Consider the following 22,363-nt stretch of genomic DNA (forward strand, 5'->3'; position numbering starts at 1 on the left):
ATAAAAATATAACTACCTTCTCCCTGTAACAAGCCACGTCTGACTGTCCATGACTGTGGCCCAAGAACGTGAGCATCACACAATTCTCAACTAGACTTCCGCCAACCTCCTTTCTCTCTCTTCACCTTCCAGTGTTTCTTTCATTCTTCTCTTCTCTTTTCACATAATACAAGCTTTCACAGAGTTACTCTATTACAGTTGGGATTAGGGCACATGAAATTTATCCAAGGAAGGTCTTCTCCATGCCCAATGAGTCCATCAAAAAAAAAAAAGCCAGGTTATGTTAATACACATTATTTGATTTATATCACAAATACATTTGTCAGAAATTCAATAAATATCATACACTGCCCATAATGTATGAAAATAACTCCTTTTTTAGGTTCTGAATCTCAGAGTTTAGTATAAAACCCTTTATTCCAAAAAGAGACTGTCAGGTATTGTACCCTTTGGATACTGGGACAGAAATGACTTATTTCCACATAGACGTATGTTTCTCCTAGGTGTTTTTAAACTTACTCCAAATATAACCTTGCTCTTGGTTAATTTCTGGTCTATTTATACTAGGATTTAAGTCATTGCAAATAATGAAAGGAAAACACCTTTTTCATTAATCACCTGAAGACGGGGGAAAAAGAAAAGCTCTGATATACCAAACTCAACCTTTTCAATAGACTTGACCTCTCTATTTGAATTGATTCCAAACTATTCTCACAATTCTTAGCATCTTTATCCTTTTATGTGAACACAACTAGAGCATTGCTCCCAGTGGTCCTTCAAGCACATGCACAGGAAAAAGCCCTCCTGAAAGGTATAAAATAATTCCACTGTTGCCCATCAGCCTTGACTTTTGCTCTGGTAGTCACTGCCAACATGCTAATTCTGTATCAGTGCTTTCAAATTGCTAAACACAGCTTTTAAGTTTCAGGTGACCATTTTTGCCCCAAGGCTTAACAAAACCCTGGAAAATTGTTACAAAAGCTGCCAAGCTCAAAGAGGTGAGTAGGGAGAAGAAAAAATGCATCACAGTTGCTTAAGACTGAGTGTGTTATCCATCCATATGGATAATATAAATAAATGTACAAATATATATTATATTTATGTAATATATAATATATATATTATATTTATGTAATATATAATATATATATTATATTTATGTAATATATAATATATATTTATATATTATATTTATGTAATATATAATATATATTTATATATTATATTTATGTAATATATAATATATATTTATATATTATATTTATGTAATATATAATATATATTTATATATTATATTTATGTAATATATAATATATATTTATATATTATATTTATGTAATATATAATATATATTTATATATTATATTTATGTAATATATAATATATATTTATATATTATATTTATGTAATATATAATATATATTTTTATATTATATTTATGTAATATATAATATTTATATATTATATATGTAATTATATATCTATAGGATATATACTTATATAAATAAATGTATTATCTATCCACATGGATAATATAACCACATATAATAATAATAAAAAGTGATAATTCACATTCTTGAAATACACAGCTCCAGACATTGGGGCAGTCTTTTTGCAATAGCTCTCCTGGACTCATTCCCTGAGAATAAGTACTCCACTGGGCTTCTATCTCTGCCCTAGTCCAGCATTTCTGTGGATTTTTCTGCAATTTGTAAAGAATCCCCAGCACATAGCAGTTACTATACGAAAATATCAAATGCTGGTAAATGCAGCCTCAGGCATCATTTGCTATGCTGAAGATGGAGGTGGTCAGGAATTGGATTAAAGCACAAACAAGGAAGCAGAGATCCTTTTCATCAGAGTCAGATGAAGTGAGAAGAGGCTGAAGTAAAAGGTTTGGAGGGTAGAGGACCGCAGCTGGGGGAGCTTTCATTGAGTGGTTAGGTCACTGCTAGGCAAGATGCGGGCTTTAAAACAGCCAGGGACTTCCTGAGAGCAGAAGATACATGGAAGAACTGCCGTGGGAATCGGGTAAGTCAAGAAGAGCTAAATAAAAGGATTACGGAGAAGCAGGGAAGGCATCCCTTAGAACAGGTATCTTGAGAGTATAATAGACCCAATCAGAAATGTATGATTTTTCATAGCAACTCATCAACCTGGAAGTAGAAGTAGTGGGCTTATTCAGTGGAGGGTATCCTTGGTTATAAATTAGAAAAGGCTGCAGCAGCTCATAATGACGAGAGAGTTCAGTGTGGAAGCGAGTTTGCTGCCCATACGGGTAAGACCAGGGGAGGGTTTTTGGACTGGGAAACTGCAGCAGGTTGAGGGAGCCTCTCCCTTTTTTTTTTTTTTTTTTTTTTTAAGAGATGGGGTCTCGCTCTGCCACCCAGGCTGGAGTGCCGTGGTGCGATCTCTGCTCACTGCAGCCTCCGCCTCCCAGGTTCAAGCAACTCTCCCACCTCAGCCTCCTCAGTAGCTGGGATTTACAGGGGCACACCACCACGCCCAGCTAATTTTTACATTTTCAGTAGAGACGGGGTTTCACCATGTTGGCCAGGCTGGTCTTGAACTCCTGACCTCAGGTGATCCACCCGCCTTGGCCTCCCAAAGTGCTGGGATTACAGGCGTGAGTCACCGTGCCCAGTGAGGGAGCCTCTCCTTAAGAACAAAGGGTAGCTTCCACGCATCTTGTGGGAGAGAGAGATGGAAGGTCAGATGGTTGTAGTCAGAAAGGGGGAGTCTGACAGGTGGAGATCTTGGCAGTGGAGCAATTGCTAATGAAGATGAAATCCAGAGCACATCTATGCCAGTGAATAGATAATGTAAGATGATGTGAATGCTACTAGAATAAGTTTGGGCAGAGAGACTGTGATTTAAGTCATGACACTGAATTTGAGGGAATGATGGGAATAAAATGGATGGAAAGACAGACCACAAGGCAAGTACTGGTAGGGCAGGATCCACAGAGCTCTGTGCAAAGGAACTGAAGTGGGCATGAGTAGAAGTAGAACCATCCAGCCTGGGCAGTGAAGAGATGCCCCAGAAAGGGTCATGGGGTATGAGAAGTACTGGCACATTTCCTCTTGGCCTTGGGGTTTGTTAGGGGTACAGTCTTCGCTGGAGGCATTGTGAGGTGTTACCAGGAAGATCCACTGGCAGTTAATGAGAGCAGGTGGAGCAATGGGAAAGGGAATGACGTGAGGTTGTAGGAAAGTTTGTTCTTAGTAGAATTAAAGTTCCAAAAAGATTTGGGAAAGTGTTTAGGATAATAGCTCTTAACTTTGGTGGCACAATAGAATAACCCAGGGAGTATTAAGAAAATAAAATGCCCCAATACCTAGACCAATTAGATCAGAACCTGTGGGAGTGAGGCCCTGGAGTGGGTTTTTATAAAAGCTTCCACCTGCTTCCTCTGTGCGCTGAGAATTCCTGATTTTGGAAGAGCATGAGCGTGAGTCAGGATGGGGGCAGGCCTGAAGGAGAAGGAGGCCTTCAGGAGGTGTGTTGCAAGAGGAAGTATTTCTGGGCAACAGTGGTTAGAGAAGTAGCGAGATGGGAGAGAGTATGTTGGGAACATTAGCAGGGCGCCAAGAAGGCAGAGTTTTAGTAATAAAGGGCTTTTTGAGCTAATCAGCCCCAAATTTCCAATTCAAGCGTGGGTGTGAGGAAGAGATGGCGTGACTGAAATAATTGTCTCTTCGGTATGTTGGAGAGGCCATTTGCCTATAACTAGGATTTTGGTATTTCTGCATTATTAAAAGGCCATGAGGTGCAAGAAAGCCTCATCCATTATTCATGTTTGTTTCAGGCTAAGTGCTAGATCCCCAGATGCTGAGAATTTATAAATGTCTATTTAGAAAGCATTGACCATGATACAAACTGCTCTTGAGTTGTTTTTGCTGCTTAAACCTGTTCATCACTCTTTCTCACTATTGACCATTTGCGTCTTGGGTTCACTAATTATAATAATCAGAATTATTTTTATAAAATATTCTATTTTTGCATGTATTTGTGTGTGTTTATTGGGAAAACAAGGTGGCTGAGGAGAGAACTATGTGTGTGAATATAAAATATGTAAATCAAACACTTCAAATATGATGTAGGTCTTCTATGGTACGCTTTTGCAACGATTTTCTTGGAACTGTTGAAAAGATTTGCCTTAATCAGACCCCATGGCTCCCCTACAGATACCATTTTCCCTAATTCAAACCCAGCATGATTCCTATCCTGACAGTGCTTTGGATGTATCACATTTGCAAGGAATATAAAAGAAATAACCTTAAGCTTTACATTAGAGCTGTGTGTTCACAACTTTTATTCGACATCAGAAAATCTTACAGGCTTGACTATCAAAATTATATGCGCTGACCCAAGAGGTCTCATCCCTTCCCCAAGACCATGCTGGTCAAATCTACCATGGTGAACAGATGATGGCAACAGGCTTCTAGCTCACCTTCCTGTTTCCACTCGTGCCCTCTACAGTCTTTTCCCCTGGAGCCTGCTTCCCAGTGGACTTATCCTGGAACGCTCAGTGTTCATAACCAAGTACTACTCTCTGAACGGAAGCTCCAGATGGAAATACCCTGATATTCAGAAAAACTTTCTTTCCTTGGCTTCCTTGATTCATTTTTCTTCCATTTCTATTCCTAATCTGGCTGCTTATCCTTCTTTAGCTCCTTTGCTGGCTGCCCTTCCTCCTTCCTTGCAAAGCCAGGGCTTTCCCTGGTCCCCAGGCTCTAGGGTATAGGTCTTCAAGCAACTTTGCTTAGGGGCAGAGCAGCCAGGCTGCAGCCAGTTGCCTGGGCATGAAGCCTGCTTTCTCCACTTAACAGCTGTGTGACCTAGGGCAACTTACTTAAACTTTCTGTGCCTTGGATGATACATCTATAAAGTGGAGTTAATGGTGCCTTATAGATAAAATGAAGATTAAATGAGTTAATATAAAATATTTAGAATTTTGCCAAAAATATAGAAGCTCTCAGTCATCTTGATTATTTTTATGATTATCTTCTCCCTCTACTCTCTCTTGATATTCTTCCTGACCACTGTGGATAACAATTATCAACATAACGTAGTTGGTTTCTGAATCTCTGTTTCAAAATCTGCTCTCTGTTCAGAGAACCATATCCGTATTTCTAACCGTGCCTTGGGCATCTTTTATACCTCTAATTCAGTATTCCAAAAGAAAAGGCACAGTCACTGTTATGGAGTGATATCTGTGCCCCCCCCAAATTCATACGTTGTAATCCTAACCCCCAGTGTGATAGTATTAGGAGGTGAGGCCTTTGGGAGGTGATTAGGTCATAAAGGTGGTGCCCTTAGGAATGGGATTAGTAGCCTTGTAAGAGAGATCCCAGAGAGCTCTCTCCCCAGCTCTCCACCACGTGAGGACACAGCAAAATGTCAGCAGTTCCTCATCAGAGCCCACCCATGCTGGCATCTTGATCTCAGATTTTCAGCCTCCACACTGGAAGTCTGGGTTGGAACTGTGAGAAATAAGTTTGTTGTTTATGCCACCCAGTCCGTGGTACTTTGTCAGAGCTGCCCAAACTGTCTAAGACAGGCACAATCTCTACACCCCAAGGCATCCTGACCCCTGAGTTTGCTTCTATGACTCAGAGGCAGGAACTTGACCTTCCGCCCCATCCATTGAGCGCTCGTCATGGGATTCTCGAAAGGCCACTTGAACAGGACTTTTTAGGCTTGTTCTCTCCATCTCACTCCCCTGTCATCATTCAGCTCCATCACACGTTCCTGCATACTTTGACTCACCTTTTCACTGAAGTCAGGCTGATATTTCTAATATGTATTTTCAATCATGTCTTTTTTCTGTTTAAACCTCTCCAATCTCCATTAACTCAAGAACTGAATCTCAGCTCCTCTCTCTGGCCGTAAAGGTCCATCTAGACAAAATTCCTATCTATTATTCTAGGCTTACCAGAAATAATATGCCTGCAGAGAGTCTTCTTTTTTTTTTTTCAGACAGAGTTTCACTCTGTCGCCTAGGCTGGAATGCAGTGAGGCGATTTCGGCTCACTGCAACCTCTGCCTCCCCAGTTCACGCCATTCTCCTGCCTCAGCCTCCTGAGTAGCTGGGACTACAGATGCCTGCCATCATGCCCGGCTAATTTTTTTGTATTTTTAGTAGAGACGGGGTTTCACCGTGTTAGCCAGGATGGTCTTGATCTCCTGACCTCGTGATCCACCCGCCTTAGCCTCCCAAAGTGCTAGGATTACAGGCGTGAGCCACCACACCCGGCCGAGGGTCTTTATTTATTGTTTGCTTCTGTGTTTATTCACGCTGTTCCCTCCACCTAGAAATCTTGTATTTTTCCCTCTACTATTGCTGGTCAAAACCCAATCCTCCATTAGGGCCAATCATCAAATATTAGCTCCTTTTCAGATTTCCTCAAAGTAATGATGCCTCCGTCTCCTGAGCTCCCATATAGCACTTTGCATGTCAGCCACTGTGGCATTTCTCACCCTCTGACTTACCTCCTCAACCTTGGCATACTTCTTTTATTCCTCCTTCTATATCATAAGTTCTTCAAAGGCACTTACTATATCCCTTAAAGCTTCGAATGGGATAAAATGAATGGCAATAATCACACCAGGAATTAAGCTCATTTATTCTGCAAAGCAGCAGCCTGTTGTCAAATGCTAACCCGCTCCTTCACAGCCCTCATAAAAAGAATAGGAAAGCATATAAATGAAGCAGCACACCAGAGGAACATACAGTGTGAGCAATTATGCCAATTCCTTTTATAGGAAGAACGCAGCTGAGATAAACATGGAAGCAGATTATTTACCATCCACGGGTCTCGTTGCCAAATTCTTCTAAATTTTTCATTAAAAGAAATCAAGGAAGGTAAACAAAGTAGCCCTTGGGAGGAATCAGTGTAAACAGCTCATATATCAGCATGGCCTCAGAGAAATGTCTATCTTTTTTAAGTGCATCCTTTTGGGCCAAACACGTGTCCACACACTTGGGTGCACACACACAGCCACATCTCCAAGTGTGCACAGCCGTGCAAAACCTTGGCTTCCAGGTGGAGGTGAAGAGGGCAGGCTAGGTGGGAGGCACTTACCTTCAGGGCATCCTGGGTGTCATCCAGACAGTAGACTCGGATGCTGTACTCCAGCGAGGAGCAGCACAGGGGCCCAAAGATGGCCAGCTTGAGGCGCTTCGCAGCCGCTTTGGTGGTGGAATGTCCTACCAGGGCGTAGGTGCTGAGGTTCTCTGTGAGGATGTGGCAGGCCTCTGCATCCAGCTGAATGTAGCAGGGGGTGGTGAAGTTTTCCTCCCCGACCACCACCACATCCTGGGGGACAAGAGGGAAGGGCCATGGCTAAGTCACCCAGGACGCATGCCGGCCACCAGGGATGGTGGTGAATGGTGAGTAGAGCAGGACCTATCCTTTACTTGGTCTTTTTTCTCTCTCAGAGTTTATAATCTGTCTACTTGAGTTCATCATTCTGTCTCTTTCTACCATTGTCTTTACACTGAGAATATTTATTTAGATGTCTTTCAGTTTGCATTTTTTGATCTTCTAAGAATCTACATTTTCCCTAAAAATCTGTACGTGTGAAAAGAATTAGATAAATTAAGGAACTGGGCAATAATATATTAATATGCAATTCTACTATGTTCTTTCAAAACTCACCTGACAGTTTCTTCCTAAAGAAATACACTGCTTTTTCTAAGTAATCTTGGCCGTCAGATTCTAAGAAAAGCAAGACCTGACAAATTCCATGACACGTAAGATACATTTCTCTGTTACTTTTTTTGTTGTTGTTGGGTCAGTATACTTCTTTTATTTATTTATTTATTTAATTTATTAATTGAAACAGGAGTCTCACTCTACTGCCCAGGCTGGAGTTCAGTGGCAAGATCTCAGCCCACTGCAACCTCCGTCCCCTAGGCCCAAGTGATCCCCCAACCTCAGCCTCCCAAGTAGCTGGGACCACAGGTGTGTGCAACCACACCTGGCTAATTTTTTTTGATAGAGATGGGGTTTCACTATGTTGCCAGGCTGGCCTCAAACTCCTGAGCTGAAGCGACCCACTTGCCTTGGCCTCCCAAAGCGCTGGGATTACAGGTGTGAGCCACCACGCCCAGCCACAACTTTTTAACATGTTTTATATATTTAGGATTTCATATTGTGTGTGTGTGTGTATGTGAAAGCAGGATTTTGCTGCAAAAAGGTTTAAACGGAAAACACTCAACCTAGATCATGTGAGCAGTTGTTCCTGAGTCGTCATCTGATGACTGATGGCTGAGCAGAGGATTGGCCAAGCAGGCAGCTGTCCCAAGTCCTAGATGACCAGGGGCCAAGGACATGGTACTTGGTGTCAGGGAGCTGGGATGAGGGCAGGGTGGGCTGGGATGGTGTGTGAGCTCACAAGAAGGAGCTCAGGGAAATTCTAAAGGCAGCAGCTGGCAGTAAAGCTGGAAGCTAAATTGAAGGAGACAAGTCAGTGAAATTTTCAGTCTAAAGAGATGGGTTTTTATGTGTCATTAAACAGTCTACTCTTTCAGACACTGAAAACATTTAGCAAGAAATAAAAATAAATGGAAGTGATGATTTTTATTTTAAAAAATAGTTACTAATTCAACCAAGTTTTGATTCATCTATATGGTTCAGGCCACAGAATATATCAGCTGAAAGACCATGTATGGGATGCAAAAACCAAGGGTTGGGATTCCGAATGCATCCTGGGGCAACCAGGTAACAGAGGCATGTGAAGTAGGCAGGGCCACAGACAAGGAGGAATGATGGAGACTGTGGCGAACCAGAGTGCATGCCTGTCTAAAGAGCTCAGCCTCTGCTGGGCTTCGGCCTACGGTTGCTATGCAGGAATGCAGGCCAAGTATGGACAAAGCCTCACATGTTCCAAGACAGGCTGGAAGTTCAGATTTTAATGTGAAATCTTCCAACTTTTAATTAACTCGAATTTAAAAGAAAATCTCAGGCAGGAGAAATCCACGCGTGAGCATGAGTCAGTCTCTGCACTGTCAGAGACAAGAGTCAGTCAGTCTCTCTGCAGGGGCAGGAATCATGTCGACTTTGCTTCCCACTGTATTCCAGTGGGCCTGGCTCAGGGTGTGTGTCCCACAACCATTTGCTGAAACAGTGAATGAACACTTAGTTATACATTTAGTTCAGAGGGCTACACAAAGATGTGAAAGGTTGCCACCTAGGTTATTATTTATTAGGCCTTGCAACATGATCTGAGCTATAATAAGAGCTGTGTTTTAATAGCATCAGTGAAATAATTTCTTCTACTGAACCTATGCCCCCAGAGGAAGCCCCTAAAAAGGAAAAGAGAGAAGCTCAGAACCTCCAGGTTTATTCCAGTCCCAAAGGACACCTGGAAAGCAGCTGCTTTCTCCAGGACAAAGGAAAGCCTCCGGTATCCCCTAGTGGTGACATGGTGCAGAAAGCTTCCTAGAAGACATGGCCAAAGAGTAACGATGCCCACGTCCCAGTCACTCACAAGTACAAGGGGGCTTTCATGAGGACTGTCCTCTTCTACTTCCCTCATCTGCTCAGTTTATTGTTAATGTCGTTGTTATTGTAACTACTCAAACCCAGAAATGGATAGGGTAATAGGAAGAGAATCATGCGAATAATTTAGGATCACTTCGGATTAAGACGGGATGTTTTTCAGATACATCATTTAAAGCTTAAACAGAATGAAAGTTAGATCTGGTTAAATCTGGTCCTAACTCAACATAAAGTGTATTTATTTATTTATTATGTACGCTTCGGCAAGCAGTGATCCCCTGATATGGTCAAGAGTAGAACATGCCCATAGGAAGGAAATCCCAGTGAATCCCAGGGATACTCTGGTACTCGTCTACATCTAATACTATATTTTCTTAAAATATTAGGAGCTGGAATCTTCATGTGTATTTTTTCTAAGAATTTTTTCCTAAAAAATTATCATAAGTAATCACAAAGCATATAATATATACTTTGCATATTATAACTTCCTATTTTATATGTTTTACATTTTATACAAGTATAAATGTATAGTATAGTTTTAAAATTATTGAGTATTTTTGGATAAACATATTACTGAAATATAGGTGCTAAGTGGAGGGTTCTAATATAAAGAACTAGGCTTGTTTAAAGCATTGTCCTTAAGAAGTTCTGATGACAGCAGCTGCAGACAGCCAGAATGCTGCAGATTTTCTTCCTTCTAGTGGAGCTTTGGAGACACACCCTTTCTGTTTTCCAAGGTTAAGTTCACAAGAACTGTATCCCAGGTACATGTCTGCAAGTAAGTGCCTAACATTTTCTGATCCAGTTGCAATGTTTCTGACCTGCAAATTATATACGTATATATACATATACTTTTTTTTTTTTTTTGAGATGGAATCTTACTCTGTTGCCCAAGCTGGAGTGCAGTGGTGCGATCTCAGCTCACTGCAACCTCCGCCTCCCGGGTTCAAGCGGTTCTCCTGCCTCAGCCTCCCGAGTACCTGGGATTATAGGCACATGCCACTGCGCCCGGCTAATTTTTCTATTTTTAGTAGAGACAGGATTTCTCCATGTTGGCCAGGCTGGTCTCAAACTCCTGACCTCATGATCCGCCTGCATTGGCCTCCCAAAGTGCTGGGATTACAGGCATGAGCCACCCCATATACATATATATGTATATATTATATATACACACATATACACAATATATATACATAGACATATATATAATCTATATTCCAAAAGGAACATGTCTACAACTCTTATGTGCACCTTTCCTATGAGTTATCTAATGAGTGACCATCATTTTCTGTGTGCCTGTCAATCAGAAGATATAACACTCAGGAACTAGTCTGCCTGCCTGTTTCTCTCTCATTTTGAGGGTGAGCTAAAATTCCACTCATGTTTTGCTTTATAAATAAAAGGCCTCCCATAATTGCTCCTGCTTATCTGCATGGATTATTCTTGCATAGCATCTTTATCCCGACAGCAGCTCACCTCCCACTGTCCCTGTGCTGCCTGGTTCTTGAGCAGTATTTTCCAGTCCTCGGTATTGGGGTCTGCGCAGTGATGCATAGTGAGGACGACTGGGCGGGTGAGCAGAGCTCCTGGGGGCCCACAGCTCACCACAGGGGTCAAAAGTGTCTGAGAGTCATCCATGGGTGGCCTAGGAGGAGAGCAGAGAATGGCTTCAGTGACATTTCCATTGTATTCATGAACTATGCACTTGGGTTCTGAAGGCAAACAGGTCAAGTAGTTTTCTCCTGGAATTCTTTTTTTTTTTTTTTTTCTGGGGGGTTGGGGAGAGGAAATAGGTGATACAGAATTAAATGCTCTCTATACCAAGACCTTGATCTTGCAGGACTGGAAGTCTTTATGATAACAATAAACTTGCCAGCATCTCTTTGATCCCCTTCCCTCCGACACTGGTCTTTCTATGGTAGCTTCCTCCAAATTTATGTACAGACACTTTCAAGATGGAATGAGAATGAACAGAGTCCCTATGAAGTTACATAAGCAGATTTTCTGATAATTCTTGCCACTGGTCTCACAGGGTTTTAAATACTTTTGTGGTTTCAGGACCTGACTTGAAAAATAGTTTTAAAAAATCATTTCAGAATGAGGACACTCTAGAACTAAACTTAGTCCAAATGACTTTCAGGAATAATTTAGGCTAGTACAGCAGATTCATTCTTTCAAATATGACTAGAAATAATATAGAACTGTATTTATACAGCAACTTAAAATGAGATCTCTTGTATAGTTCATGCTCAGAGAATCTGGGCAGAAAGAACCTAAAATATGCAGATTCTTTATTCTTATATATAAAAATTGCCTTTAATCTTTTCCCTAACAGGACTGTAATCAACAAGCAAATGGATAAATTAACCTAGCCTATCAGTAAATTTGTGAAGATATAGTTCCAAAGGTATTGAGTGGATTGCCCCAAGTCTCACAACTAAGTGCTAGTTAGTGCTGAGATGAAAATAAATGCCCTCTCAACGACAACAGTCAAACTACTCACTCAATCAGAAGAGCATAGCTTTTGAAATCATGGACTCACAGAATTTTAGAAGGGCCCTTGGAAGTCATTCGGCAGCACCTTCCATCCAGCCAGAACCCCTCTAAAACATGGCTGACGTATAGTTAGTGCTATAGACACATCCAGAATTGTTCCATTACTGCTAAAAGGTCACCTCGTTTACTATAAACTCAAATTTACAAAATATTCTTACTTAGAATGAGCACAACCTGACTTCCTGAAATTTCTCTGTATGTATCCTTGATTTGCTTTTGATGCTACACTGTTTCATATATTTGGAGATCATTATGATGTCTCTACAGTCTTCTTTATTACAGACCAAACAACCTCAATGTTTCCACCCTCAGCTGGAATAGCATGGTTTCCAGATCTCTCCTCGGGTTTCTATCTTCATTTTCATATGGATGCTTGTCATTGTTTTCCAGGTCCTCGTTAAAGTGGTGGCACCTTGAACTCAACACTCAAATAGTATGAGAGAGTATTTTCTTTGATTTGCCATCTGTGTTTGTATTCATGCCTCACAAAATTGTTGCTGTTGATTATTCCCAATCAAGGAATTACTTACAAATATTATTTAGCAGGCTCCAGTTACATGGGAAGATAGAGATAGTATGGTTAAGCATTTCCTTTATAAAATGAAGCAGTGAAGCTCCAAGGAAGTTAAGAAATTTGTTAAACTAACCACTCTAAGTATTCCCAACATGAAAGGCTCTTAGGCTAAGTCTGGTTCCATGATTGTAATGATGGCTTTTAAACCTATGTACAGAAATTTACATTTAGCTTTTCATTTGAACTTAATAGTTTCAAGGTAAATTTTGGGTCATCTATTTCTTCATGCTCTATCTTCCCTCCAAACATTGGCTATCTCTTCCGGTCTTTTCTCCTCCCTAAATCTGATATGCTTGCCATTTATGTTCTCATTCTAACCATTGATAACTTTGCAACACAAGAACAGGGCAAGGGCAGAGACCTTTTCAAGGACACCATTTGGAACCTCTTTCCAGTCTGATATCAATACTTTGAGCTATTTAGTTCCACCAAATATAAACCCATTAAAATGGACATTGTTTGGTTCACATCTTTTGATGGAATTCACATATATATGACAAGGGACACATCAAATTCCTTTATAATTGCAATGGTCACTTGAAATGGATTTTTCTCTAGTTTTTGTCTATGGTTTACGTATTATTTATTACATATTCCAGAAGTTAGCTTTTATCTATGGGTACCCTCGTTGAACACTCAATGAATGGTAGCAGTTGTTATTATTGTTAATATTGTTGGAAGACAATTATCCATGGATTTCTCATGTTTATGCATGGATGTTTGTATAGCAATTACCTTGAAAGATAAAGACAATGTCTACTTCTGGAGCAAATGGCAGGCCTGTCTACTCCTCATTATAAAAGACTCAGGTTCCCTAAGCTCATAGATCCTTTTCTGGAATGCAACCATTGAGTGTGTAGACTTCATCTGAACATTTTTGCATCACCATTTCTAAAATGGGGCTCACAAAATTGGCACAAACATGATGGTACTCTGTATAATGCTATCGCTGTGGGTAATAAGCTGTCTGTTGTCTTTGATCCACAAGACTTGTGTGTTTTATCAGCACGCATAAAACTGTAGCAGCTAACTTGGTAGCTCACAAGTAAGTTTGTATCTTAGAGCTTCCACAGTTGACTATTAATTCTAAGAACACAATTAAAATTTGGTATATGTTCCCCTTAATAACTCTTGGCTATCAGTGCTTCCTCACTTATTCTGAAATTGCACCAGGATCTCACCAACCTATGGCTTTTCTTTCTTCCTATTTAGAAAACCAACACAAATTTTACCTACTTTTAGTCTTTTAATAGCATTTCCGTTCTCTTTAAATAACAATACCCTTTCCTCCATTATAGCTAAAGTTATTTAGGTACTTGGGAATGTACTTAAATTTGGAACTATAAGGTTATTGGGAGCAACTTGAGACCTCATTACTATCCCCATTACCACCTTGGTTTTCATTTTCTCTTAACCCAATTTGTCCTTCTTCCAGTCTGAAATTCATTCTCTTAGAACACAAGTCAAGTTCTGCTTTCACCGTGTCATAGTTAATACTATACTATCTGCCTTAAGGAGTGACTTTATTATTGCTTAATTCTATTTTTTCCTCTCCTGGAGGGGGAAAAAACCAATGATTGCATTTTTCTGAGCAGAACTCTTACCTTCTAGTTACAAGTGTACCTTGAGAAGTGAACATTAAACTTTTAAGGAAGGAGACTAGAGTGGAATGTATTTCAAGTGGTCTTTGCAATATAGTTGGGGATTGGAGACATCTATCTCTCAGTCTGGTGTTAGCAGCCGGTGCTTGAGGCAGGAAGGAGGAGGGGTCCTTCTCATCACTGACTTGGAACAGAAGGGAGAAGGCTCCCTGCTGGGCTGGGGAGCTGTCAGACCTGTACTCTCCAAGTACACCCCTGGCATGCAATATTGATGGGCACCATTCTTGGAGGAGGGATAGCAAGGGAAGGAGGGAGGAAGGAGGGGCAGTAGGTGTCAAAAGAATTTATTAACCCAGTGAGGTGCAAGAATGTAATGAATAGGGAAGTGGTGAAGTGGAATTCTTAACAGGGAATGAAAAACAAAGAAGAAATAATGATAAGATTCTCTTATAGGCTTTCAAGATGACATAAATAGCATTGAAATTGCAAATATCTGAGCATATATGTAAGGAGTTACGCAGGATAAGATTTAACTATGTGAAAACTAAGGTCAGAGTGTGTAACACATTTCCTTTATACAAAGGAAGCTATTAAATCACATAGAAGAAAATAGCAGAAAATAAAAATATCTCAGATTCTTGTTTTTGCAGAGAAGGACTTCTCTATGTCTCATGTGTTTTCTAAGCAATTCAAGCAGTCTGTAAATATTAATTGCAGATGATATGGAAATGAACATAGAGCAAAAATTAGCTTCAGAAGCATCAATTAAGTAGAAATTTCAGCAAAGAACAATGATTAAAATTTTAAATGTTTTCCAAAGTCCAACAAGGATAATATTCCAGTAAATGCTGGATGGGTGCTGAGTCCTCTAGGACAAAGCCCACAGAGAGAAATTTCAGTTTCCTGTCAGAAATATTTTCTCATCCTTTGCTTGTCATTATCAGTGAGGAGAACTTCTAATCAAGAGTGCATAATTTACAAAACTTTCACATAAGCCATTGCATTTGCTGCTCATGGTACACCTGTATGGCAGTGTATGTCTATTACCTCTTTTCCAGAAGAGGAAACTGAAATCTACAGATATTAACACACTTGCCTAAGGATGCAAAGCTAGGTAGGTTTCAAACACAAATCATTTAATTTCTTTCACACGATGCTGTATTTTGGGTTGCTTAGAGTGGGTTTAAGTCCTTGCGAAACTATTCTTGTCTGTTTCCTAGAGCAGGCTCAAGGAAAGAATCTGTCTCCATCCACCTCTGTGGGAACAGGAGATGCCTTCTAGTAGTGGACATGTCTTTTATCTGGTCCCTCAGGATGATAATCCCACCCTAGGCTCAGCTGCCTTTTAAAGCACAGGCCTTCACACATAACTGGCAACTTGAAATATTTGCACTCTAGGTACCTGACAGGGAATATCTAACTCACTTGCTATCAAAAGCTCAATTGTGCAAAAATAATATTTATGAAAGCCACTCCGAAGGGCGTGCCACCATTTCCCTAGACAGGCCAAAATCTATCCCTGGATTAAGCCAGAACTGATAAGCATTATGCTTATCTACCTCCATTGAGGGACACTGATAGAAGCAGCCCTTGAAACTCATTGCTGTTTTTCTTTAAGGATGCTGTTCACTGCATTAGCAAAATGTCTTCTTTATGAGGAACCAAAGGAAAAATAATTGGGTTTCTTCTGAGCATATTTTTTTCCTCATGGACATGCGGATCTTGTAACTTAACACATTCCCTTCTTGAAAGGCTTAGAAATAGTAAATTCACGACCTGGTACTAGCAAATGTGCTGGGAATTACACCAACTATTTTATATTCTAACCGCTCGCCTACTTTATCTTATCTTTTATAACTTTATTTTCCCCATTTTCTTACCTTTTTTATCCACTTATTTAAATTTATTTCTCTTATTGAGAAGTGTTTTCGTAAACTATCTTGAAGCATTTCTCTCTAAGTAGGATTTCAATAAATGAACATTGTCAAGAACAGTATGAGGATAAGATTTCAATATACCTGGACTCACTAACTCCCACTGTTAGCCTTTTTATGGCTCTTCCTTCAAACTGAGGAACTTGAGGCTCATGAATGAGAAAGGACTCTACTAAAAGGAGAAAGATCACTGTGTTTCCTTGAGACAGAATAATGTCAACTACTATTTTACAAAATTCCAAAAAATAACATGATAAGCAAATCTATCTCTATACAATTACCTACATAGGGAATTTTGGACCTTTATCCTCACACATTGCTTTATTATTTATATTTAATAGATGTATATGATAGTGTCAGTTGCCACACTACTATCTCACATCTTAAACCATTGCTAAGGGGATTCCACCAATTAAAAAAAAAAGTTCTGAACACCACTAATGCCCCACAGTTGACAAATCTAATAATCTTTTTGTTGTTCTTCCTCTTTCTTTACATTTTTACTTTAATGACACCTCGTGTTGAGGCTCCATCTTGGAGCCCTTTTTACCTTTGATTTTTGAGATCCTATTTATACCGCGGTTTGTCTGTCTACCCTTACAAACCTTCGTACTTTCATTAGGAAATATTCATTGAGGAGCCACTACTCCTAACACAGTAATATGTTAAGTACTGTGCTAGATGCAAACTCTTCATTTGCCTTATCCTTACATGTTCTATCTAGTTTCTCTCATCACACCCAAACCTTCACAGGAGTATTTCTTAAAGTTCTTTCCCCAGTTCTTTCTGCTTCTGCATTTTCTCGGCTGGAGGTTCCTTCCTTGCCGTGACTTCACTTCCACGTCCCTAGCAGGAATCCACATCCCCACTCACACTGAACGCATCCAAACTGGAATCTGTCCTCTCCCCTGGAGCCACTGCTGCTTCTCACCTTTCTCACAATTGTCACAGTGCCCCAGGCTTGATTCTTGAATCTATTCTGTGTGTTCTGCCCCTCCTTTGCAACACTTCTAGCCAGCTGTGAAATACTTTCTCTTCTGAAATAGATTCTCTCCATACCCTCTCCATTCTCTCAGACTGGGACCTGGCTCACCCTCCGGCCCGGTTCCTCCTCCTCCTCTCTCCTCACACCTGCATTACTGCCAGGGCCCACCCAGGCACCAAGCCTTCTGGGCGAGTCCTTCTGTTCCCTCCACCGATGCATTCCATGCACTGTCACCGGATCAATCTTTAAAAAGCGCTGCTATTCCTGCGTCACTCAGCTGCTCAGAAACTTTCCATGGCTCCCTGCGGTTTACAGAAAGGGTGTTCTATTTACCTTTGTATTTGCAATTTCTAAATTGATTTCTTCACCCTTTGATAAAACTGCTAGGTGAGTACAGAATGCAGAGAAAAGGGAAAATCAACTTTCATATCTTCAATTCCAATTGTTTTCCAACAAGAATCAATAAAGAACAAAATTTCAGTCTAGGTCGGGTTCATTTGTGCAAACTGCTACTAGAAACAAGGCAAAAAGGCCCATGTTAGCAGCATTAATTGTGGAAATTGTATCCACCAGGAAAACAAAGGCGTCGCCGCCTTTCCAGAGATCTGTAAAGCAGGAGAGGTAGAAATCCTGAGCACAGCCTTGCAGCTCTGCACCCTCTTTGGTCAGAGACCGCTTGTCCCATCTCTGTGGCTCATTCAGGCTGTTCAGCTGCCAGCCTGCACTTTCGCTTAGAGCATATTCAGCAATGATAAGACCCCTCTTGTCACATTCACTATGCCACATGTAATTAAGTTCACGCCTCCCTTCAGACAATTCACATCCGCAGATGACCAGCTGGATACCATCCAGCTGGAAACATACCCAGTTTGGGATGCAATAAAAGTAATCAGAGAGAAGGAAAATGGAGAAAAATGCTCAGAATTTTCCTACGAATGCATAGTAACATCACAGCTCCTGATGTCCTCACAGAGTCTTCTTCCAAAGAAGTTCTGTCTTGTATCATGTGTGGATAGAAAGGATCTTTAGTGAGCAATAGAAAGTGTATCCAAAAATGCACCGTAATACATAGGCAGAGGTTTGGTTTGTGCATTGGTGCAATGGAGGAGGATGGCACATTAGGAAGCAGAAAGTGCTTTGTGATCAGAAAAGCCTGAGTCTGAATTCTGCCTTGCTAAGGTACTAACTGAAACCTTGGCTTTGGAACCCAATTCCCCTGTGCCTCAGTTTCTTCATCTTTAAAGTGGAGCTCATCACAGCTTGCAGAACGTAGTGAGAAGTAAATGAAATTAAGAGTTTGCTGGATGAAGGGCAGGGATGCTTTGTTTTATGACTATATCCTAAAGCACATTCTTGCCATTGTGTTTTACAATAAAAATGCATCTGGTTCATAACAGAAAACTAGTGAAGAGAAGACTTCTCATTTATCTGAAACTGTTATCCTCCTGTGTTTGTTTCTTGGTTCATGGTCTGTAGTGCATATTTTCTTTTGAGATCTTGAGGTTTTCCTAGCTTCATTTTTATAAACAGAACTTCTTTTATGCACACCAAATTCAACAGAGTAATTCCCTCTGCACCTAACTTCAGATGGTAGGCATAGCAAGGAGTGATTTATAGTTTCCGTTTCATTATAGTCAAAGGCAGAGAACCCTAACAGCAGAAAAGTGTCTAGCTTTATCAATTTTCTGTTTTCTCTTTCTTTCATCTAAAATGTACAATTATCCTGGTTCGGCTGCCAAGGAAAGTATGGGGAGAGCAGGCACGTGAGTGCACACCTCTTTCAGCTTCAGCCCGTGCCTGCAGCAGCCCCTTAAGGCTTGATCTTCAGCTGCAGATAATGATAATCTGATGGAAAATAGGAGAGCTCAGGCATCTTACTGTTTCTCACCATAAAGCACAAGCCAATACTTATTTCTATTTAAACAAAATGTCCACGCTGACAAAGGCCTTGATGGATAGATGTACTTAATGCTAACCTTGACTCTGGAAGAGAGAAAGAAAAATAAAATAAAATAAAGAGATCTTGGAGTTTGCTGATCTTCTTTTCTCCTGATGCAAAAGAAGGGAGCTTTGAGGGCCTGTGAATGTTGCTTTGCATTGGGAATGAAAAAAATGAATATTTGATGTGGGTAAATACAAGCCTTTTAGTGATTTTTCTGTTGCTCAAATTTAAGGCATGAATAATGCTCAAGAATTGTATTATTTTCTTAGACAGGCTAGTATTTATGTAGGTGGAAGTACACCACCCGAGGAAAAAAATGTTCTGGGTCACACCAATTATAAATGCCAGTATCTCCACCTGAGAGCATAATACAAAAGCTTTATGGCTAGTGAAGAACAAGGCTAAAAATGGACGTTTTTCTGAGGATGAGAGCTGGGAAAAGAAAAGGTATAATGTGTTATAATGATAACCTAGTTCTGCATTGTCACTCATGCTTTATATTCAGAGCTCAGGGCTGAGGAGCCGATGCTCTTCCCCTTGGGAAAAACAATGATAATTACATGATGAGGATCTCCATTTTAACAACATCTTTCATTTTAAGATCTTGGTGTACTTCAGAAGCATTAATCAGGCTTCTAAAGCACTATTTAACACACGCATTTTACATGGAAACTAATCAAGAAATACCCAATACGATTTGTTAGAGGCCAAACTGAAAATTGAATTTAGGACTTCTCAATGCCTCTTGTTATTTTTACTTAAAATAACTTCTTCTTTATGATTATGAAACATTCTAAACAAAACCTTTTAATTCAATCTAGTTTTAATCAATCCTAGACCCATTCTGAACAGCCTAATGTGGAATTTATAAGTGTTAAACATAAGAAGGAAATTAGTAATACTTAAGCTAGAAGACAGTCACAAAAGGAAGAATCGTGGGTCAGAATTAAGGGCTAGGCTGAGTGGGAGCGGTAGGGATTGGAGGAGTTGTCCAATCCTTTGTGACCTTTGACTCTGTAATGGGAACAGGCTGGATTCCTGAGCCAGATGCCATGAAGTCGACGTCTCTGTGTCTACCCACTTGTCTCTCTGGACAATCTAGGGATCACATTTCTGGACATTTTTCCAGGAAATATGGCAACGTGTCCACTTGGGAAAAGATCTCTAGCCTTCTACCCATATTCAAGATCTGCAAAAGCGTCTGGAGCCTCAAAGACAAAGAGAAGTAAAACCTGACCTTTTGTAGGTCAAGGGAAAAAGAATGTATGCCAGAAGCAAGGCACTTGAGACAAAAATATGTTGGGTTTATTGTGTCTATTGTACAATTCTCCTCCAAGTTAGACATTGGTAAAGTCAGTGCACCAGAAAAAGCATATTTACCTCATAGTTTCTTTCCTGTGTACAGTCACATACATTTCGTAGACTCTCCCTTGGGGAATGGCCCCAGCGGGAATCAGCAAGCTGACTCCTGAATAGCAAAAGAGAAAAGCAGTCATTTAAGACTTTTGCAGCACGTAAAAGGGAATGAGGAGATTTTGTGACCGCGCAGCCATAAGCCTGCTTCATTTTCTCTAAAGACATGTAAATATTCCGAGTTGCTCCATTTTCCTTCCTCATTGGCCTCCTTACCACGGCTCCCTCTGAACTCTTATGCAATTACTTAAAGGAATGATGTAACTTTTTAAACTCTTGTTTTATTTGAGGAACAGACAGATGGTTCCACTGTTGTTTTCCTTGCAAGACAAGGGGAAAACCAACAACTGCTCAAAATTTCAAACAGCTGTAATGATGCATCATTTCCATTTTTTTTTAAAATCCCCACAAGATTCAAAGTCAGGGAAATGCCAACTTCAACATAAAAAAAAAAACAACATGTATTTTTTAAATATCCGGTTAGCATCAATGTAATTCCACAATGGTATAAGAATTGGTGAAGACCTTTTATTATACATAACTCTAGAAAGTGAACACTAACTCCTAGTTTAGTCACAGCAGGTCAAAGCGTTTCTAGTTAGTTGCTAATCGGTGCCCTTTGGCAGAACTATTAGATTGGGCTGTGTTCTAAGCTAACTGTGTCTGCTGTGGCAGTGGCTTGCAAATTTGAGCTCAGGTCAGAACCACCTGGAAAGCTTGTTAAACCACAGATTACTGGTCCCTACCCCGAGTTTCTGATTCAGAGATATGGGGTGTGGGGTAGATTTTTTAGTTCAACCAGTTGCCAGGTGATGCCCATGGTGATGGTCTGGGGCCCACACCACTGCTCATCATCACAAAGAGTGATTCAGTGTGGACAGCACTCCAAAGATGTTTGGCTCCATCATTTGATTCCCCTAAAATCCAGCTTCCTTCAGCTCCATACAAATTTATGAAGCATCCTTGTGAGTACAGTGTTTGACACTGTTGTGAATTTCAAAAAGGAAAAGATAGTCTTCCTGTCTTTGAGTAATTCATAATTTAATTAGCGAGGAAATGGAATATGCCAAATGAGCGTGGGGCAATATGAAAACTTGCCTGACCACACTGGAAAGTCTCAAGAAAAAAGAATGGAGAGTTAAGAGGTAGTAGGCCTTCATGTAACTGGTTGAAGATGTTGAGCCACAGACCTCTTGAGAAGGAGAGTAATGTGAGAGCCCTGGTGTTGTAGGAAGTGGACTGTCAATGTACAGAATGATTTGTGGAGGACACAGCAGGAAGATCACACATGAGGCTACCAAGCCTCAGTGCTTTTATTTTTTTCATTGAAAACATAAAACATACCTTAATCTTTGTTATAGGGATGAAACAGCATTATGAATATAAAGTAATAGGTAACTATTGTTTGTCCATTAAATAAAATATCATATGTTGATCACCATTGCCTAATACATAGGAAGAATTTAAAACATGCTAGCTCACTCCCTTCCACTTAAGAGGCCTTTATAATAATGCACATATGAAAAAGTGGTAGGTAGAAATGGGAAGAAAAGGCAGAATCCAATACATTTCAGAGGGAAAAGAACTATTTTGAGAACAATTGTAATGTTTAAACAATGGAAGAACCTTAAAGTATGTTTTGATTCATTCAATAATGGACTGTTATAAAGATATTTAAAATCATGATTTTAAAGAGCATGCAATAGCATGAGGATTAATGAGAAAAGGGTGGAAAACATTATATAATACATGATCTCAGCTATGTAAACTGTGAAGAAAAAAATATTTTATTAAATGTTTTGATTTTGTTAAAATATACTTTTAAAGGTTTAGGGTAAAAGTTGCCAAG

At 40.1% G+C, this 22,363-nt stretch overlaps 1 protein-coding gene across 4 annotated transcripts in view; it reads right to left on the reverse strand.

Annotated features, from left to right (window-relative positions):
* The window catches only part of UNC5C (unc-5 netrin receptor C), a 386,470-nt gene that overhangs the window by 33,139 nt on the left and 330,968 nt on the right, over positions 1-22,363 (reverse strand). For all 4 annotated transcript variants that reach the window (NM_003728.4, XM_005263321.4, XM_047416346.1 and 1 more), the window contains 3 exons: positions 20,482-20,569; positions 10,986-11,154; positions 7,089-7,322 (listed from right to left, as the gene is read on the reverse strand). In NM_003728.4, coding sequence (NP_003719.3) covers positions 7,089-7,322; positions 10,986-11,154; positions 20,482-20,569 — 491 coding nt within the window. The remainder of the gene's footprint in view (positions 1-7,088; positions 7,323-10,985; positions 11,155-20,481; positions 20,570-22,363) is intronic.

This window comes from Homo sapiens, chromosome 4 (assembly GCF_000001405.40).
Source record: "Homo sapiens chromosome 4, GRCh38.p14 Primary Assembly".
Taxonomy (NCBI): Eukaryota; Metazoa; Chordata; class Mammalia; order Primates; family Hominidae; genus Homo; species Homo sapiens.